Source organism: Homo sapiens, chromosome 10 (genome assembly GCF_000001405.40).
Source record: "Homo sapiens chromosome 10, GRCh38.p14 Primary Assembly".
NCBI lineage: Eukaryota > Metazoa > Chordata > Mammalia > Primates > Hominidae > Homo > Homo sapiens.
The window spans coordinates 70,451,514-70,467,207 of NC_000010.11; the positions used below are offsets into that span (position 1 = coordinate 70,451,514).

General features: G+C 51.6%; 1 protein-coding gene across 1 annotated transcript in view, besides 3 other annotated features; it reads left to right on the forward strand.

Annotated features, from left to right (window-relative positions):
• Positions 3,685 to 4,211: an enhancer, noted in NCBI's record as "OCT4-NANOG-H3K27ac hESC enhancer chr10:72214954-72215480 (GRCh37/hg19 assembly coordinates)". NCBI's record gives its function as "activates a minimal SCP1, AML or CMV promoter by ChIP-STARR-seq in naive and primed H9 embryonic stem cells {active_cell/tissue: H9 hESC(naive and primed)}" and the evidence as "EXISTENCE:reporter gene assay evidence [ECO:0000049][PMID:30033119]".
• Positions 3,800 to 4,094: a silencer, noted in NCBI's record as "tiled region #8837; K562 Repressive non-DNase unmatched - State 21:Repr". NCBI's record gives its function as "represses a minimal TATA promoter and a strong SV40 promoter by Sharpr-MPRA in K562 cells {active_cell/tissue: K562}" and the evidence as "EXISTENCE:reporter gene assay evidence [ECO:0000049][PMID:27701403]".
• Positions 4,212 to 4,737: an enhancer, noted in NCBI's record as "OCT4-NANOG-H3K27ac-H3K4me1 hESC enhancer chr10:72215481-72216006 (GRCh37/hg19 assembly coordinates)". NCBI's record gives its function as "activates a minimal SCP1, AML or CMV promoter by ChIP-STARR-seq in primed H9 embryonic stem cells {active_cell/tissue: H9 hESC(primed)}" and the evidence as "EXISTENCE:reporter gene assay evidence [ECO:0000049][PMID:30033119]".
• Positions 6,972 to 15,694, forward strand: part of PALD1 (phosphatase domain containing paladin 1) — a 109,966-nt gene continuing 101,243 nt past the window's right edge. Inside the window, exon 1 of the mRNA XM_011539638.3 lies at positions 6,972 to 7,053. The gene's annotated coding sequence lies outside the window, so the exon portion shown is untranslated. The remainder of the gene's footprint in view (positions 7,054 to 15,694) is intronic.

The following is a 15,694-nucleotide window of genomic DNA, read 5'->3' on the forward strand; positions in this document are numbered from 1 at the left end:
AATCAGGAGTTCAAGACCAGCCCGACTAACATGGTGAAACCCCTCCTTTACTAACAATGCAAAAATTAGCCGGGCCTAGTGGCACACGCTTGTAATCCCAGCTGCTAGGGAGGCTGAGGCAGGAGAATCGCTTGAACCTGGGAGGTGGAGGTTGCAGTGAGCTGAGATTGTGCCACTGCACTCCAGCCTGGGCAACAAGAGCGAAACTCCTCTCAATAATAATAAAAATAAAAATAAAAATAATAATAATAATAATATAAAAATAAAAATAAGCTGGGCGCGGTGGCTCACGCCTGTAATCCCAGCACTTTGGGAGGCTGAGGCAAGTGGATCACGAGGTCAGGAGATCGAGACCATCCTGGCTAACACGGTGAAACCCCGTCTCTACTAAACATACAAAAAATTAGCCGGGCATGGTGGCGGGTGCCTGTAGTCCCAGCTACTCAGGAGGCTGAGGCAGGAGAATTGCCTGAACCCAGAAGGCGGAGCTTGCAGTGAGCTGAGATCGAGCCACTGCACGCCAGCCTGGGCGACAGAGCGAGTCTCCGTCTCAAAAAAAAAAAAAAGTCAGAACTAAGGGCCGGGCACGGTGGCTCACGCCTGTAATCCCAGCACTCTAGGAGGCTGAGGCAGGCAGATCACCTGAGATCAGGAGTTCAAGACCAGCCTGGCCAAGGTGGTGAAACCCCGTCTGTACAAAAAATACAAAAATTAGCCAGGCATGATGATGGGTGCCTGTAATTCCAGCTACTCAGAAGGCTGAGGCAGAAGAATTGCTTGAACCCAGGAGGCAGAGGTTGCAGTAAGCCAAGATTGTGCCATTGCACTCCAGCCTGGGCAACATAGTGAGACTATGTCTCAAGAAGAAACGAGGCTGGGTGCGGTGGCTCACGCCTCTAATCCCAGCACTTTGGGAGGCTGAGGCGAGTGGGTCACCTGAGGAGAGGAGTTTGAGACCAACCTCGCCAACATGGTGAAACCTTGTCTATGCTAAAAATACAAAAATTAGCTGGGCGTGATGGTGGGCACCTGTAATCCCAGCTACTCAGAAGGCTGAGTCAGGAGAATCTCTTGAACCTGGGAGGCAGTGGTTGCAGTGAGCCGAGGTAGTGCCACTGCACTCCAGCCCAGGCGATAGAGAGAGATTCTGTCTCAGAAAAAAAAAAGGCCGGGCGCGGTGGCTCACGCCTGTAATCCCAGCACTTTGGGAGGCTGGAGCGGGCGGATCACGAGGTCAGGAGATTGAGACCATCCTGGCTAACATGGTGAAACCCCATCTCCATTAAAAATACAAAAAAATTAGCCGGGCGTGATGGCGGGCGCCTGTACTCCCAGCTACTCGGGAGGCTGAGGCAGGAGAATGGCGTGAACCCAGGAGGCAGAGCTTGCAGTGAGCCAAGATCCCGCCACTGCACTCCAGCCTGGGAGACAGAGCAAGACTCTGTCTCAAAAAAAAAAAAAAAAAAGAATCAGAACGAAGAATAAACACTAAACAAACTAAGAATAAAACTCAGCACTTAGGGAGTGCTTACTGTGTGCCAGGCACTGACTGTACCAAAGAGATTTATATGTGCAGTTAGCTCAGTGTCTTCCAAAATTGCTTGAAGACAGTAATCACTGGGAGCAATTATTAGTCATAAAGAGAGCTCTAAAAGTCCTAGTGCACTATTTTAGTCATATTTAATCTTTAATAACTTCAAAATTATAAGTGATAGAAACTTACAAAACCAGCTTCTGATAATTTATTGAAATTTCTTTTATACTTGTTTGGTTTTGTGATCTTTGAGTAATATATTTTAAATTTTATTGTTTTGTTTCCGTCAACAGTTGCTATCTTCAAAAAGCATTTATGTTAAAAACATATTATTCAAAATTCAAAACCATCCAAAAGACCATGGATAATTCAAGTTCAAAGCTGAATAGATAACGACCAGGCATGGTGGCTGTGATCTCAGTACTTTGGGAGGCCAAGGCAGGAGGATCACTTGAGCCCAAGAGTTCAAGACTGCAGTGAAATATGATCACGCCACTGCACTCCAGCCTGGGTGACAGAGTGAGATCCTGTCTCTTAAAAAAAAAAAAAAAAGTGAATGAGTAAACAAATTGTGGTATATCCATATATTGAAATACTATCTGACAATAAAAACGAATGAGCTATTGATACACATGAAGGGGATGAATCTCAAAACAATGATACAACAATGATGTTGAGTGAAAGAATCCCAACAAAAAGTAGTATGTTATGGATAATTCCATTTCTATAAAATTCTAGAAAATGCAGACTAATGTATAGTGGCAGAAAGCAGACCAATGGGTTGCCTAGGGATGGGGGAGAGGGAGGGATAACAAAGGGCAGAAGGAAAGTTTTGGGAGTGATAAATATGTTCATTTTCGTTTCTTTTTTTTTTTTTTTTTTTGAGACAGAGTCTCACTCTGTCACCCAGGCTGGAGTGCAGTGGTGCAATCTCTGCTCACTGAAACCTCCACCTCTGGGGTTCAAGCGATTCTTATGCTTTAGCCTCTGGAGTAGCTGAGGTCACAGGCGTGCGCCACTGTGACTCGGTAATTTTTGTGTTTTTAGTAGAGACGGCGTTTCCCATGTTGGGCAGGCTGGTCTCAAACTCCTGACCTCAGGTGATCTGCCCGCCTTGGCCTCCCAAAGTGCTGGGATTACAGGCATGAGCCACTGTGCCTGGCCTATTCATTTTCTTAATTGTGGTGATGGTTATATATATCTCAAAGCTTATCAAAATGCACACTTTAAATATTTGCAATTGTAGCCTAGTCAACATGGTGAAACCCCGTCTCTGCAAAAAATATAAAAATTAGTCTGGCGTGGTGGTGCGTGCCTGTAGTCCCAGCAACTCCAGGGGCTGAGGCAGGAGGATAGCTTGAGCCTAGGAGGTAGAGGTTGCAGTGAGCTGAGATCATGTCACTGCATTCCAGCCTGGGTGACAGAGTGAGACCCTGCCTCAAAAAAAAAAAAAAAAAGAAAATATTCGCAGTTGTGTGTATTTTACTAAAGCTGTAAAAATGAAATTAAATGTAATGAACTTTAGAACTATAAAACTTGGCTAGGCACAGTGGCTCATGCCTGTAATCCCAGCACTTTGAGAGGGTGAAGCAGGAGAGTTGCTTGAGCCCAGGACTTCGAGACCAGCCTGGGCAACATGGTGACACAGCGTCTCCACAAAAACTACAAAAATTAGCCAAGTGTGGAGGGAAGCACCTGTAGTTTCAGCTACTCAGGAGGCTGAAGTGGGAGGATAGCTTGGGCCCAAGAGATTAAGGCTACAATGAGCCATGATCGTGCCATTGCACTCCAGCCTGGGTGACAGAGTGAGACTCTGTCTCAAAAAAATTATATATGTCTATATATATCTTATTTGAAATTCATAAAACTAATGTGTAAAAAATTTAAATAAACTTTGATGTTCTTTGTAAGTTTGTAGCATTTATACTTCTGAAATAGAAGTATACTTAATAGAACGTACTTCTATTAGAGCTTAAAAGTGCTTTAAAACTTTTAAGGATATCAGTCTTGTAGGTCTATAGCCTCAGGGGCCCTGGGGTGGGACCCGGGAATCCTTGCTCTTTCAAAGAGTAAGGTGGGAAACAGCATAATCTCTTCTCTCTCTCCGTCTCTCTCTCTGTCTTTCTCTCTCCCTCTCTTTAGCTCTCTGGCTTTTCACAAACCCATGAGATAGGTATTTCTAAAGATGAGGGATCGGAGGCTCAGAGAGGCTCGGTGACTTGCCTCAGGTCACACAGCTCATTAACAACGGTGCTGGGATTGGAGTGCAGGCAGTCTGACTCCAAAGCCCACACAGGCAGGGGCTGGGGGCACTTACATCATCTCAAACTCCCCAGTCCCTGTTCCTTGTTGGCCACTGACCGCAGAGCTCTCAAGAGCCCCAGGCTGGTGCATTCCCCACTAACATCAAAGGGCCCCAGGCTTCAAAGGCAGGTGAGGAAGATGCACATACCCCATACCTGGCTGGGTATGCAGGGAAGCCTGGGAGAGCTAATACGATTAAGCAGAGACCCAGTGGGGCCGGAAGTAGCTTCCCTGAGTAGATCATTCACTGGAAGTGGCTTGCATACATTCTCACCCACCAACCACCCTCAGAGTCTTTCATTCTAGGGCTACTAGCAAAACCTCTGGACACTTGGGAATTAGGACAGCAGTGGGGGCTGTGCCAATTGAGTGTCCATCCCATAGATGGACAAACTTGTTTGAAGCCAATTGTTACCAAATTTGTGCCAGGCATGGTGCTGAGTGCTTCAGACTTGTCTCATTTTTATTCTGAAATTAGGTACAGGGTAACTATGTTAAATGCATGACTCCAAGGAGCTCCTTTGATGTTGCATTCTGTAGGTATAATTATTCCCATTTTACTGATGAGAAAATGAAGGCTTGGAATACCTGCCCAAGGTCAAGTTGGTACTAAGTGGCTAGAATTGGTACCCAGGACTATTTTGATTCTAAACTCCATTCCCTGCCTTGGCCATCAGGAGGGACAAACAGCTAAGACACCAGCATGTTCTCCTGGCCCTTTCCGTTTACTCTGGGTGTCAGGAGTGTCAGGGGTGGCAGGAGCGATCTGTGCCTGTTTGCCCACAGATCACCCCACATATCTTTAGGGAATGGGAAATGGGCAATCTAAAGCTGAGATCATCTCCTCATGATTCGAGATGTTACAAAACTACAAGGCCTCCCCGACCTTCTCCCATTGCTCCCGTGTTCATGCCCCCATCCCCCAATCATTCTCCCACCAACCTGCGCTGCAAACACTCCCTGACCAAGGCTGCTGTTTCAGAGCCAGAAAGCGCTGGGGTTATGAGGAGTGAGGGAGGCTCCAAGCGCAGGGCCACTTCCCCCCAGCTCCTGTCTTGGCCACACCAGCCTCCCTCCCAGGGGAGCTTCCAGCCCAACCTTCCCAGCCTATTCTTGCCTACTCCTGCCCTCCCACCCCACCCCTCAGCTCCGTTTTTCTGTCCTCTCTGTCCCTGTCCGACCTTTCCTTCCCCACTGGAAGATCTAAGGTCACATACCCTTTCTCTGCCTGTACCTGCCTCAGGTCCTGAGCTGCCCCATCAGGGATGGTGGGGTCAGTAACAAAAATTTGGAGGGACCCACCCTGCTGGGAAAATCGTCCTTGATGGGAAAGTGCAGCCAAGGAAACTCCCTGAGGGCAGAGGTGGGGGAGCAGGAGGGTTGTTTAAATTAGTACCAGTTAGGCTGGGGTATGGGGGGCAGCACACCTAGGTCCTGCTCCCAGCTCAACCCTGACCAGCACATGACCTTATTGAGCCTCAGTTTCCACATCTAGGATGATTCCTAGCCCTGTCGCCGCACTTGACTGTCCTATGCTTGGTGGAGCTCTGAGGCCAGCGGGTGGAAGTGTCTCCTAACATTCAGGGCCTGTACAGTTTCTTCTCCCTCTCCTCTACCCACTCTTTGATGAAATGCAGCCAATTCCCACACACCCCCCTGCCCCCCTCCCCTGCCTGCTTAGTTCTTATGTATTGTGCTATTGTGCTTTTTTTGTTTTTTTTTTTTGTTTTCAGATGGAGTTTCACTCTTGTTGCCCAGGCTGGAGTGCAATGACGCGGTCTCGGCTCACTGCAAACTCCACTTCCTGAGTTCAACCGATTCTCCTGCCTCAGCCCCCCAAGTAGCTGGGATTACAGGCGCCTGCCACCACACCGGCTAATTTTTGTATTTTTAGTAGAGACAGGGTTTCACCATGTTGGCCAGGCTGGTCTGGTCTTGAACTCCTGATCTCAGGTGATTCACCCGCCTCGGCCTCCCAAAGTGCTGGGATTACAGGCGTGAGCCACCGTGCCCATCCCGTATTGTGCTTTTTAAACACAAAATGAATGCCTATTCGCTGTAGAAAATTTGCAGACTATATAACGGTATATACAGGAAGAGAAAAATCCCCTGTAACCCCATGATCTAGATATAACCATGGTTAATATTTTGGGGGTACATTCTTCCTGTCCCCTGCACTTAGGTATTTATGTGCACATGCATTTATGTGCACTTAGAAGATTCACACAATGTGAACTGTTCTGTAAACTACTTCTTTTATGAAACCAGAACATCTTTCCGGGCCATAAAGCATCCTCTCCACTACCATTTAAAAATAAACGTTGGCTGGGTGTGGTGGCTCATGTCTGTAATCTCAGCACTTTGGGAGGCCAAGGCAGGCAGATTGTTTGAGCCCAGGAGTTCGAGACCAGCCTGGCCAACATGGTGAAACCTCGTCTCTACTGACAATACAATAATTAGCCGAATGTGGTGGCAGACACCTGTAATCCCAGCTACTCAGAAGACTGAGGCAGGAGAATCGCTTGAACCCGGGAGGCGGAGGTTGCAGTGAGCCGAGTTCTCGCTACTGCTCTCCAGCGTGGGCGACAGAGGGAGACTCCGCCTAAAAAAAAAAAAGTTGCTTAATTCTTTAGGCTTCCTCCTCCAGGAAGCCAGCCTGGAGGATTTCTCCAGCCCAGTCAGCCTCTCTCAGGGTCCTTACACCGTGTTCCCTGTTATCCACCTTCTCTTAGACTGTGAGCTTCCAGGGGACAGAAGCCCCCTCTGGACCCTTTCACTCAGTGCCCGGTGTACGTAATAGATGCTTAATAAATGAGGCTGGAAAGGGTACTTTTCTTGATTGCTGTCAGCAGGAGGAGGCTGAGGCAGAGGAAAAGAGCACTGGACTTGGAGTCGGCGTGCCTGCCTGCCTGCCTCTAGCTTCGCAATCTTGTTTGCAGCGAAGGGGCATAGTGGTCTGTGCGGCGCGGTGCCCAGTCCCGCCCGCCCCGCCGCGCCTGGCCGGGCGCCTGGCACAGCCCAGGCGCTCAGCGGAGGCCCCAGGCATGGCAGGACCTACGGAGCCCGGTGAGGTGAGCGCGCCAGGCCGGCCGGCTGGGCTGGAGGCAGAGGCCCAGGCGCCCGCCCTCGTGGGAAAGCGCGCGGAGGGCGACCCGGGTGAGTCAGCCGAAGAGCAGACGGGCTGCGGAGCAAGAAGACCGAGGCTGGAGGCGGCAGTGAGTGTTCCCGCCGGGCGGGTGGCGTTGTCGCCGCCAAGGGGGACCCGCCCCTCTCCCCTGTTCCCCGCACTGCCGGTCCCGCCGCCGGGGCCGGGACAAGAGCCTAGTGAGACAGAGACGCTCCGGCGCGAGCTCCTGCCCAGGCCCTGTGGTCGGGCGGGGTGGGGGTTACCCAGGGCTCTGCCCTCAGCGGGATGTGTCCCCTCCCATCTGTCCCGTCCCCTCGCTGGGCTTCTGTCCAGTGGCCTCATTCTGTTGCTGCTGGTGGGAAGGGTGGGATGTGCCTGCTTGGTAAATTGTGGGGCGCCACCAAACGCGGGGGGCCCCCATTTGGTGCCAGGCGAGGCCTGGTGCGTGGGCAGGAGAGTCAGGATGGGCCCCGCACACCATCACCGCCTTACCGCGGTGCTGCACTGCTAAACCAAGGGATTACTGCTGTTCCTGGGCTCAGGGAGAGAGCGGCTCCCCCACCTTTATCCCCCGCCATCCGCCCACCCACTGCTTCACCCTTCCCCCATCCCACCCCACCCCACTCCAAGCCCCAGGGAGCCCGGTTTATAAGAGCCACTGCCACCGTTTGTCCATCGCTCACTGGGACGCTGCTTTGTGATAAACATTTTGCACAGTTACCTCAGTTAGCCCTCCCGCTGGCACTATACTGACGGCTCCCTTTTCAGATGAGGAACCGGGGCTCGGAGAGGTGAAGTCACTTCTTCAAGGTCACTGCAGTCAGAGGCGGAGCTGCCCTGAGGCTAATTGAAGCTTAAGTTTCAGACCCTTGCAAGGCCCGGACCTAATTTTTGCATTTGTATTTTTGTGTTCTTTTCCTTTAAAAGCCCCCTCCCGCGACAGTAGGAGGGTCAAGCCCCTTCAAAATGGATCTCTCTGACCGTGCCTGGTCTGTCTGCTGTCCTCTGTGGCACTGCCTCGGATGGGTGGGGATGGGGGGGTTGCTGGGGCTGGGCAGTGCCAACCTGGCATGGAGGGAAGGACGTCCAGATTTGGTCAAGGGGCCCACATGACCTTTGCATGAGTCTTGGCAGACTCCAAACAGCCTGCTGTGCGCGGAGCCAGCTTAGGCAGAGCCCCCGCCTTGTGACGTTGGGATCTTCTCTGGGACTCAGCTGTCCTCATCTGAGTTAGGGGTGGTTATTATGGGGTAACTGCAGACACAAGGTGAAAGTGGAAGGAACAGAGGCTGGAAAGCTCGGAGCCCTGCCTGTCCTCCGTTCCCCCACGTACTCCCCCTCAGCCACCCCATAGGTGAACGCCACTCTGCCCTGTGCCCTCATCTTCACAGCCAGCCCTCTCCCCTCCAGCTGCCGCACCTTCTCCACAGCAGTTGTCCGTGGTGCCTACACTCCCCGCTTCACGGTCACCCTTCACCCGGTTCCATTGTGTGCCTCCTGCCTCCACCCACCATGGCGTCTGCCCTGGCTTGGGTTGTATAGGAGAGACTCCGTGTTACCAAATTGGCTCCAGCCCTGCCTGGCCGCACAGCAGCCTTTGACACGATTGAAATGCTCCCCACCTCTTAGCTTTCGTGCGGCTAAGCTTCCCTTCCGCCGTCTGGGCCCCTGCTCAGTCCTCTTTGTCTTCTGAGCCTCTTCCCCCTGCCCCAGGCCTCCCCTCCCCTCGAAGCCCGCCCTCCAAGGCTGTGCTTCGACTTCTCTTCTCCCCTGCGGTTACTTGCCTCTCCTGGAGGGTCTCACCCATCCTGGGGCTTAAAAGCCACCAATGCCCATGGTGCCCGGCCTTTGTCTACCCCAGACCAGTCCTCAGAACTCTGGACCCCTGCACCCACCGGCCTACCGTGCGTCTCCCGTGGGCTCCCTCACAGTCATCTCCGGCTCCATTCATCAAGACTGAACTCCTCTGCGCCTTCTCCAGCGTTCTGTCTGCAGCCAAGCCCCTGATTCCTGATTCCTTCCTCCCTCAACACCACAACATCCAACCTCATACCAGCCATGTGGATCCCACTTCCAAAATGGCTCTCTAGAATCCACCTGCTCCTCCCCATCTCTTCTGTCACCACCTGGTCCCAGCCACCATCATCTCTCTCCTGGACAACTGTGGAGGCCTCCCTGCCTCCACCCTGGCCCCCCAGAATCCACTCCTCTCAGGAGCTAGATGGGATGGCATCACTCCCCTCACTGAAACCCTTCAGTGCCTCTCATTGCCTGTAGGATGAAATACAAGCTCCAGGCCGGGCCAGGTGGCTCACGCCTGTAATCTCAGCACTTTGGGAGGCCGAGGCGGGCGGATCACCTGAGGTCAAGAGTTCAAGACCAGCCTGGCCAACGTGGAGAACCCCGTCTCTACTAAAAATACAAAAATTAGCCGGGCGTGGTGGCATGCGCCTGTAATCCCAGCTACTTGGGAGGCTGAGGCAGGAGAATCACTTGAACCCAAGAGGCAGAGGTTGCAGTGAGCTGAGATCGTGTCATTGCACTCCAGCCTGAGCAACAAGAGCAAAACTTCGTCTCAAAAAAAAATAAAAGAAAATACAAGCTCCAGAACCCCGGCCTGCGGGCCTCAGCCCTCTGGCTCATTGCTGTGCAGCTGCAGCAGCCTTCTTTCCGCTTCTAGAGTGTGATGTGAGTGTTCCCATTGCAGGGCCTTTGCCCCTGCTGTCTCCTCTGGCTGGAATGCCCTTTCTCCCACTCTTTGCCTGGCACACATCTAATTAGCCTTCAAGTCTTAGCTTAAGGGATGACCTCCTTGGAGAGGCCTTCCCCACGAACCCCTGTCACACTCCCTAGGAGTACCCCAAGTACTTACTGTCAGCTGGAATTATGTCTTTATTTCTGGGGCTATGGGTTAATGTCTGCCACCCCCACCAGATGGCAAGCTCCACAGGGCTGTCTGGTTTACTGTCTGTGTTGCTCTGCCTCTCCCGTGCCTAGCACAGTGCCAGGCACACAGTCAGCACCCAGGAAACACGTGTGAAGGAAAGGTGTGGAGGCCCAGCTGCCAAAGTTGTCCTGCTGCCATCTGTCCAGCAGATGGCCTCCCAGACCAGAGCTTCACCTCTGTAGATGGGTACCCATAGCAGTCCTCAGATTCCAGAACAGCTCCTATGCAAATCCCGGGGCCCCCACTTGAGATCCACATGGCAGATGTGGGAGCCAGGCCATGCCCTCTTTTGTCTTCAGTCCCAGAAAGCCCTTGGCACTTGCTTTTTTGAGATTTACGACTTGGCATTGTGATTTTTTTGTTTTTTGTTTTTGTTTTCATTTTTGAGGCAGGGTCTCGCTCTGTCACCCAGGCTGGAGTGCAATGGCACAATCATGACTAATTGCAGCCTCAACCTCCCTGGCTCAAGCCATCCTCCCACCTCAGGCTCCCGAGTAGCTGGGACTACAGGCATGTGCAATCATGCCCAGCGTATTTTTGTATTATTTGTAGAGATGGAGTTTCACCATGTTGCCCAGGCTGGTCTCAAACTCCTGACCTTGAGCGATCCGCCCACCTCAGCTTCCCATAGTGCTGGGACTGCAGGTGTGAGCCACCACCCTCGGCTTGGCATCATGATTATCTACCTGCATGTCCTACAAGGGGACTAGGGGCAACTCAAGCCAGAGACCTGATCTCACCTGTCTCTTTTTCCTTGCTTGCGCAGAGCTCAGAAAACAAATGACTAGTAGGGAAACTGAGTGACTCAGTCAGTGGAGAGACTGCTCCTGGAAGTTAACATTAAGGCTTTGGAGCCCCATTCCTGGGTTCTACTCCCGGCTCTGGGGCTTCCTAGTTGTGAGGCTTAGGCGAGTTTCTTAACTAATCTATGCCTCCCCTGTAAAGTGGGAATACTACGTGCCTCATAGGATTGTTGTGAGACTTGAATGAGGAAATACATGAAAAGTCTTTTTTTTCTGGTGCCTGGCATGTAATCAATGCTCAGTAAATGGGAGCTTTTATCATTGAACAATTCTTTACCCCCTACTGGAAGTCCAGTCTCAGCTGGGGAGAGGCTGCCTACTGTTGCACTGGGCACAATTGTGCATGCTTGTGCAGGGCATGCACACACATATGCAGGAACAACACACAACTCTCCCAGCTGTGGCGTGAGCTGGCCAAGGTGCCTCCCTTGCCAGAACAGGGGAGCCTGGCAGATGCCTTGTGCCCCCCTGGCACTGTGCCTCCTGTGCCCAGTGCCATTGGCTTGGCAAGACAGGTTGCCATGGCAGCAGGTGACTGGGCCTGCAGGCGGGGACAGTGGGTAGCCTTGGCTGAGCTCTCTGGTTTTTTAGAAGGGGGTGGCTTGCTGCCAAGGCACAGGCTTTCCTGTTACTTGGCTGCATCCGTGGCCACACCCAGGAGCCCCTGTGGGCTCCCAGCCCTGGGAACTGGGAGACTGAGCCAGCCACTCACTCTGGGCATTCCCCCAGGCCTGGGGACATGCCCCATTGTCCATCACTCACATTCCACTGGAAAGATCTGGCGTGGGTCTTTTTCCTCTACCCCGTGGTGAACTCCTGGAGAGTTCAGATTGCACCCAGCACATTGTAGGTCTCTCTCGAATGTTTGTGGGGTGAATCAAAAAACAAAAAATGCGCCGGTCATGGTGGCTCACGCCTGTAATCCCAGCACTTTGGGAGGCCAAGGCGGGCAGATCACAAGGTCAGGAGATCAAGACCATCCTGGCTAACACGGTGAAAACCCATCTCTACTAAAAATGCAAAAAATTAGCCGGGCATGGTGGCAGGTGCCTGTAGTCCCAGCTACCAGCTACGGGGAGGCTGAGGCAGGAGAATGGCGTGAACCCGGCAGGCGGGAACCGAGATCGTGCCACTGCACTCCAGCCTGGGTGACAGAGCGAGACTCCGTCTCAAAAAAAAAGAACAGGTAAAGCAGGTAGAATTATGACTTTACTCTCCTCTCACCACCTAGAGGAGAAAAGGTGGTGAGAGGAGCGTAAAGTCTCCAGACATAATTCTACCTGCTCTAGAGATTAATATCTAATTAATAATATTACTTTAGTACCCACTGTGTGCCAGACATTGCTCTAGGTGGAGCCAAGATTTGAACCCAGATGGATACATTCCTGCTGTCATGGAGCTAATATCCTAGTGGAGGGAGACAGACAATAAACAAACAGGCAAAAAAAACCAGGAAAACATCAGATAAGGACTACAGGTGCTATGCTGAGAATTACAATAGGGGGATGCAGTAGGGAGGAACTGAGTGGCCACCTCAGATGTGGGGACAGGAAAGGCCTCTCCAAGGAGGCGACATTTAAGCAAAGACCTAATTGGAAGAAAGGAAGATCTGGATGGGGAGCCTTCTAGGAATATGGACAAGCTAGTTCAGAGGCCCTGAGGACAGAGCACACTTGACCAGTGTGGAAAGAAGTGAGGTTGAACTTAGTAGGTGAAGGGGATGATGAAGATACACATACAGTAAAGTGTACTAATCCTAAAGTTACAACTTGATGAGTTTTCACGCATGCGTTTGTCCACGTAACCCCTATCCAGATCAAGCTATAGCACCCCAGAAAGTTCCCTCGGGCCGCTCCCAGTCAGTGTTGCCCCTCACCCACGGGCTGCTCTTCTGGCCTTGATGATTGTCATAGGCTAATTTTGCCTGTCCCTGGACTTCATATAAATGATGAGATCTTATCCTGTATTCTTGTTTGTATCTGGCTTTTTTTTTTTTTTTTGAGACAGAGTTTCACTCTTGTTGCCTAGGCTGGAGTGCAGTGGCACAATCTTGGCTCACTGCAACCTCTACCTCCCGGGTTCAAGCAATTCTTCCACCTCAGCCTCCTGAGTAGCTGGGATTACAGGTGTGTGCCACCATGCCCAGCTAATTTTTTCGTATTTTTAGTTGAGATGGGGTTTCACCATGTTGGCCAGGCTGGTCTCGAACTCCTGACCTCAGGTGATCCAGCCACCTCGGCCTCCCAAAGTACTGGGATTACATGCATGAGCCACCGCACCCGGCCTGGCTTCTTTCACTCATCATTAGGTCTATGATGTTCATCCATGATGTTGCTTTGTATGGGTAGTTCACTCATTTCAGTTGCTGGGGTATTCCAGGCTAAAACTGTACCTCCTTTTTTTTTTTTTTTTTTTGAGATGGAGTCTTGCTCTGTCGCCCAGGCTGGAGTGCAGTGGTGCAGTCTCTGCTCATTGCAGCCTCTGCCTCCCGGGTTCAAGCTATTCTCCTGCTTCAGCCTCCCGAGCAGCTGGTATTACAGGCACATACCACCACGCCCGGCTAATTTTTTTGTAATTTTAGTAGAGATGGGGTTTCACCATGTTGGCCAGGCTGGTCTCGAACTCCTGGCCTCAGGAGATCCACCCATTTTGGCCTTCCAAAGTGCTGGGATTACAGGAGTGAGCCGCCATGCCCGGCCTCTATGTACACTTGTATGTATGTATGTATGTATGTATGTATGTATGTATGTATGTATGTATGTTTGAGATGGAGTCTCGCTCTGTTGCCCAGGCTGGAGTGCAGTGGCATGATCTCGGCTCACTGCAAGCTCCACCTCCTGGGTTCACATCATTCTCCTGCCTCAGCCTCCCGAGTAGCTGGGACTACAGGCACCCACCACTATGCCCAGCTAATTTTTTGTATTTTTAGTAAAGGCGGGGTTTCACCATGTTAGCCAGGATGGTCTCGATCTCCTGACCTCGTGATCCGCCCGCCTCTGCCTCCCAAAGTGCTGGGATTACAGGCGTGAGCCACCGCACCCGGCCTCTACATACACTTTTAAGTAGCTTATATATGCTGGTGAAAGGTCCCCTGGTTCTCTTCCATTTTACAGGTGGGGAAACTGAGGCTCAGAGAAGGGAATAGACTTATCCCTGGTTACTCAGGCAGTTAGTGGCTGACAGTGGTACTGCTGACTCTGTAGAAGGCAGAGGCCCTGGGTTCCAGGGAGGGAGGAGGAGAGAATGAGTATTTACTGAGCACCTACTATATATCAGGTCCTCCATAGGTATTATGTCATTTGCCGTCATCGTCAAAATAACCCTGCCAATTAGGCGTGATTATGTTAGTTTTACAGGTGAGGGGCCTGAGTCTAAGAAACATATTTACAGAGTGGAGTCAGGACTCAGGCGGGCCAATCTGACTCCAAAGCCTGACACCCTCCAAGACATCACGCTGCCACTCAGGGAGGGGTGAAGCCTCCATACGCCAAGGCTGCACAGGCTGAATGCAGAACTCACAGGTGAATGAAGAGCTTGAGGGGGCTTGTTGGATTAGGCTGGTCCCTCCTCAGGATGGAGGACAGCAGGGAGAAAGGTCCTGGTCTTCTGCTTTGAACCCCTGCCAGGGTCCCACAGACATTTACCCCCTGAGGCCCCAGTTTCGTGGTTAACTTACTGTTAACCTTGGGCCAGGTACTCCCTCTCTGGCTCCTTTTAGCTCTGCTCTTCTGAGTGGGGTTTGGACTGGAAGTCTCTTGGCCTTCACTGTTCTGATCCTGCCCCATGCCCCAGGGCTGTCACCGGGGAGGCTGGAGGGGAGAGGGGCTTTGGGACCTCCAGTGTCTCTACCTCCTCCACATGCTGGTCTTCCTGATTCAGAGCTGGATCTCAGGCCCCCTTGGGACTTTGTGAGGAGGCCTTTTGTTGGAGGAGGACAATTATTTTCTCACATTCAGTGGGTTGTCTTTTAAAAAAAATTGTGGTAAAATATACATAACATGAAGTTTGCCATTTTAACCTTTTTTTTTTCTTTTTGAGACAGAGTCTCACTCTGTCGCTCAGGCTGGAGTGTAGTGGCGCGATCTCAGCTCACTGCAACCTCTGCCTCCTAGGTTCAAGCGATTCTCCTTTCTCAGCCTCTGAGTAGTTGGGATTATAGGTGCCCGCCACCATGCCTGGCTAATTTTTGTATTTTTAGTAGAGAAGGGGTTTCACCATGTTGGCTAGGCTGCTCTTGAACTCCTGACTTCGTGATCTGCCCATCTCAGCTTCCCAAAGTGTCGGGATTACAGGTGTGAGCCACCGCGCCCAGCCATTTTAACGATTTTTAATTAAACACTACAGTGGCATTAAGTACATTCTTGTAGCTGTGCAACCATCAGCACCATCCATCTCCAGAAGCTTTACATCTTCTCAGGCTGGAACTCCTTACCCATTAAACAATCACCGAGGCTTTTAAAATAGTGGTTTTTGGAGATGGCAGGCAGCCCTCCTTGAGAAGCGTGAGGGAAGTTGTAAGAGAACGTGAGAGAATGTGGAACACTCTGGGGAGAAGGGGCAGGAATTTGAGGGGAGAAAGCAAGGGCCCCGGGGCAGGCAGGCTTAGCAAGCTCACCTCCGGGATGCTGCCAGGGCTCCGAGAGTCCCCTGCATGGGCTCTTTCCTTCCTTCCACAGCCACCCCAGCCCCACCGTCCTGGCCTCACCCTCTCTCCCTGTAAGGAAATGGTGGGCATTTTAACAATTTCGCTGCCTCCTGCCAGCAGCAGCCCACTCCTGCACCCTCTTCAGAGACTTGAAGTGGGTGACAACTCCTGACGGGCGGGCCTGGGGGTGCAGAAAGGGACTTGTCCATGGGTCTCTAAGTGTCAAATGTCAGGTAGGTGTGAAGTCAGAGCCAGGAGACCAGCTTCTGGGGGGTATGGGAGGTGTTGAGTGTTGAGAGAAAGCAGGGTTTCATTCTCTTCTTGACCCCCTTGG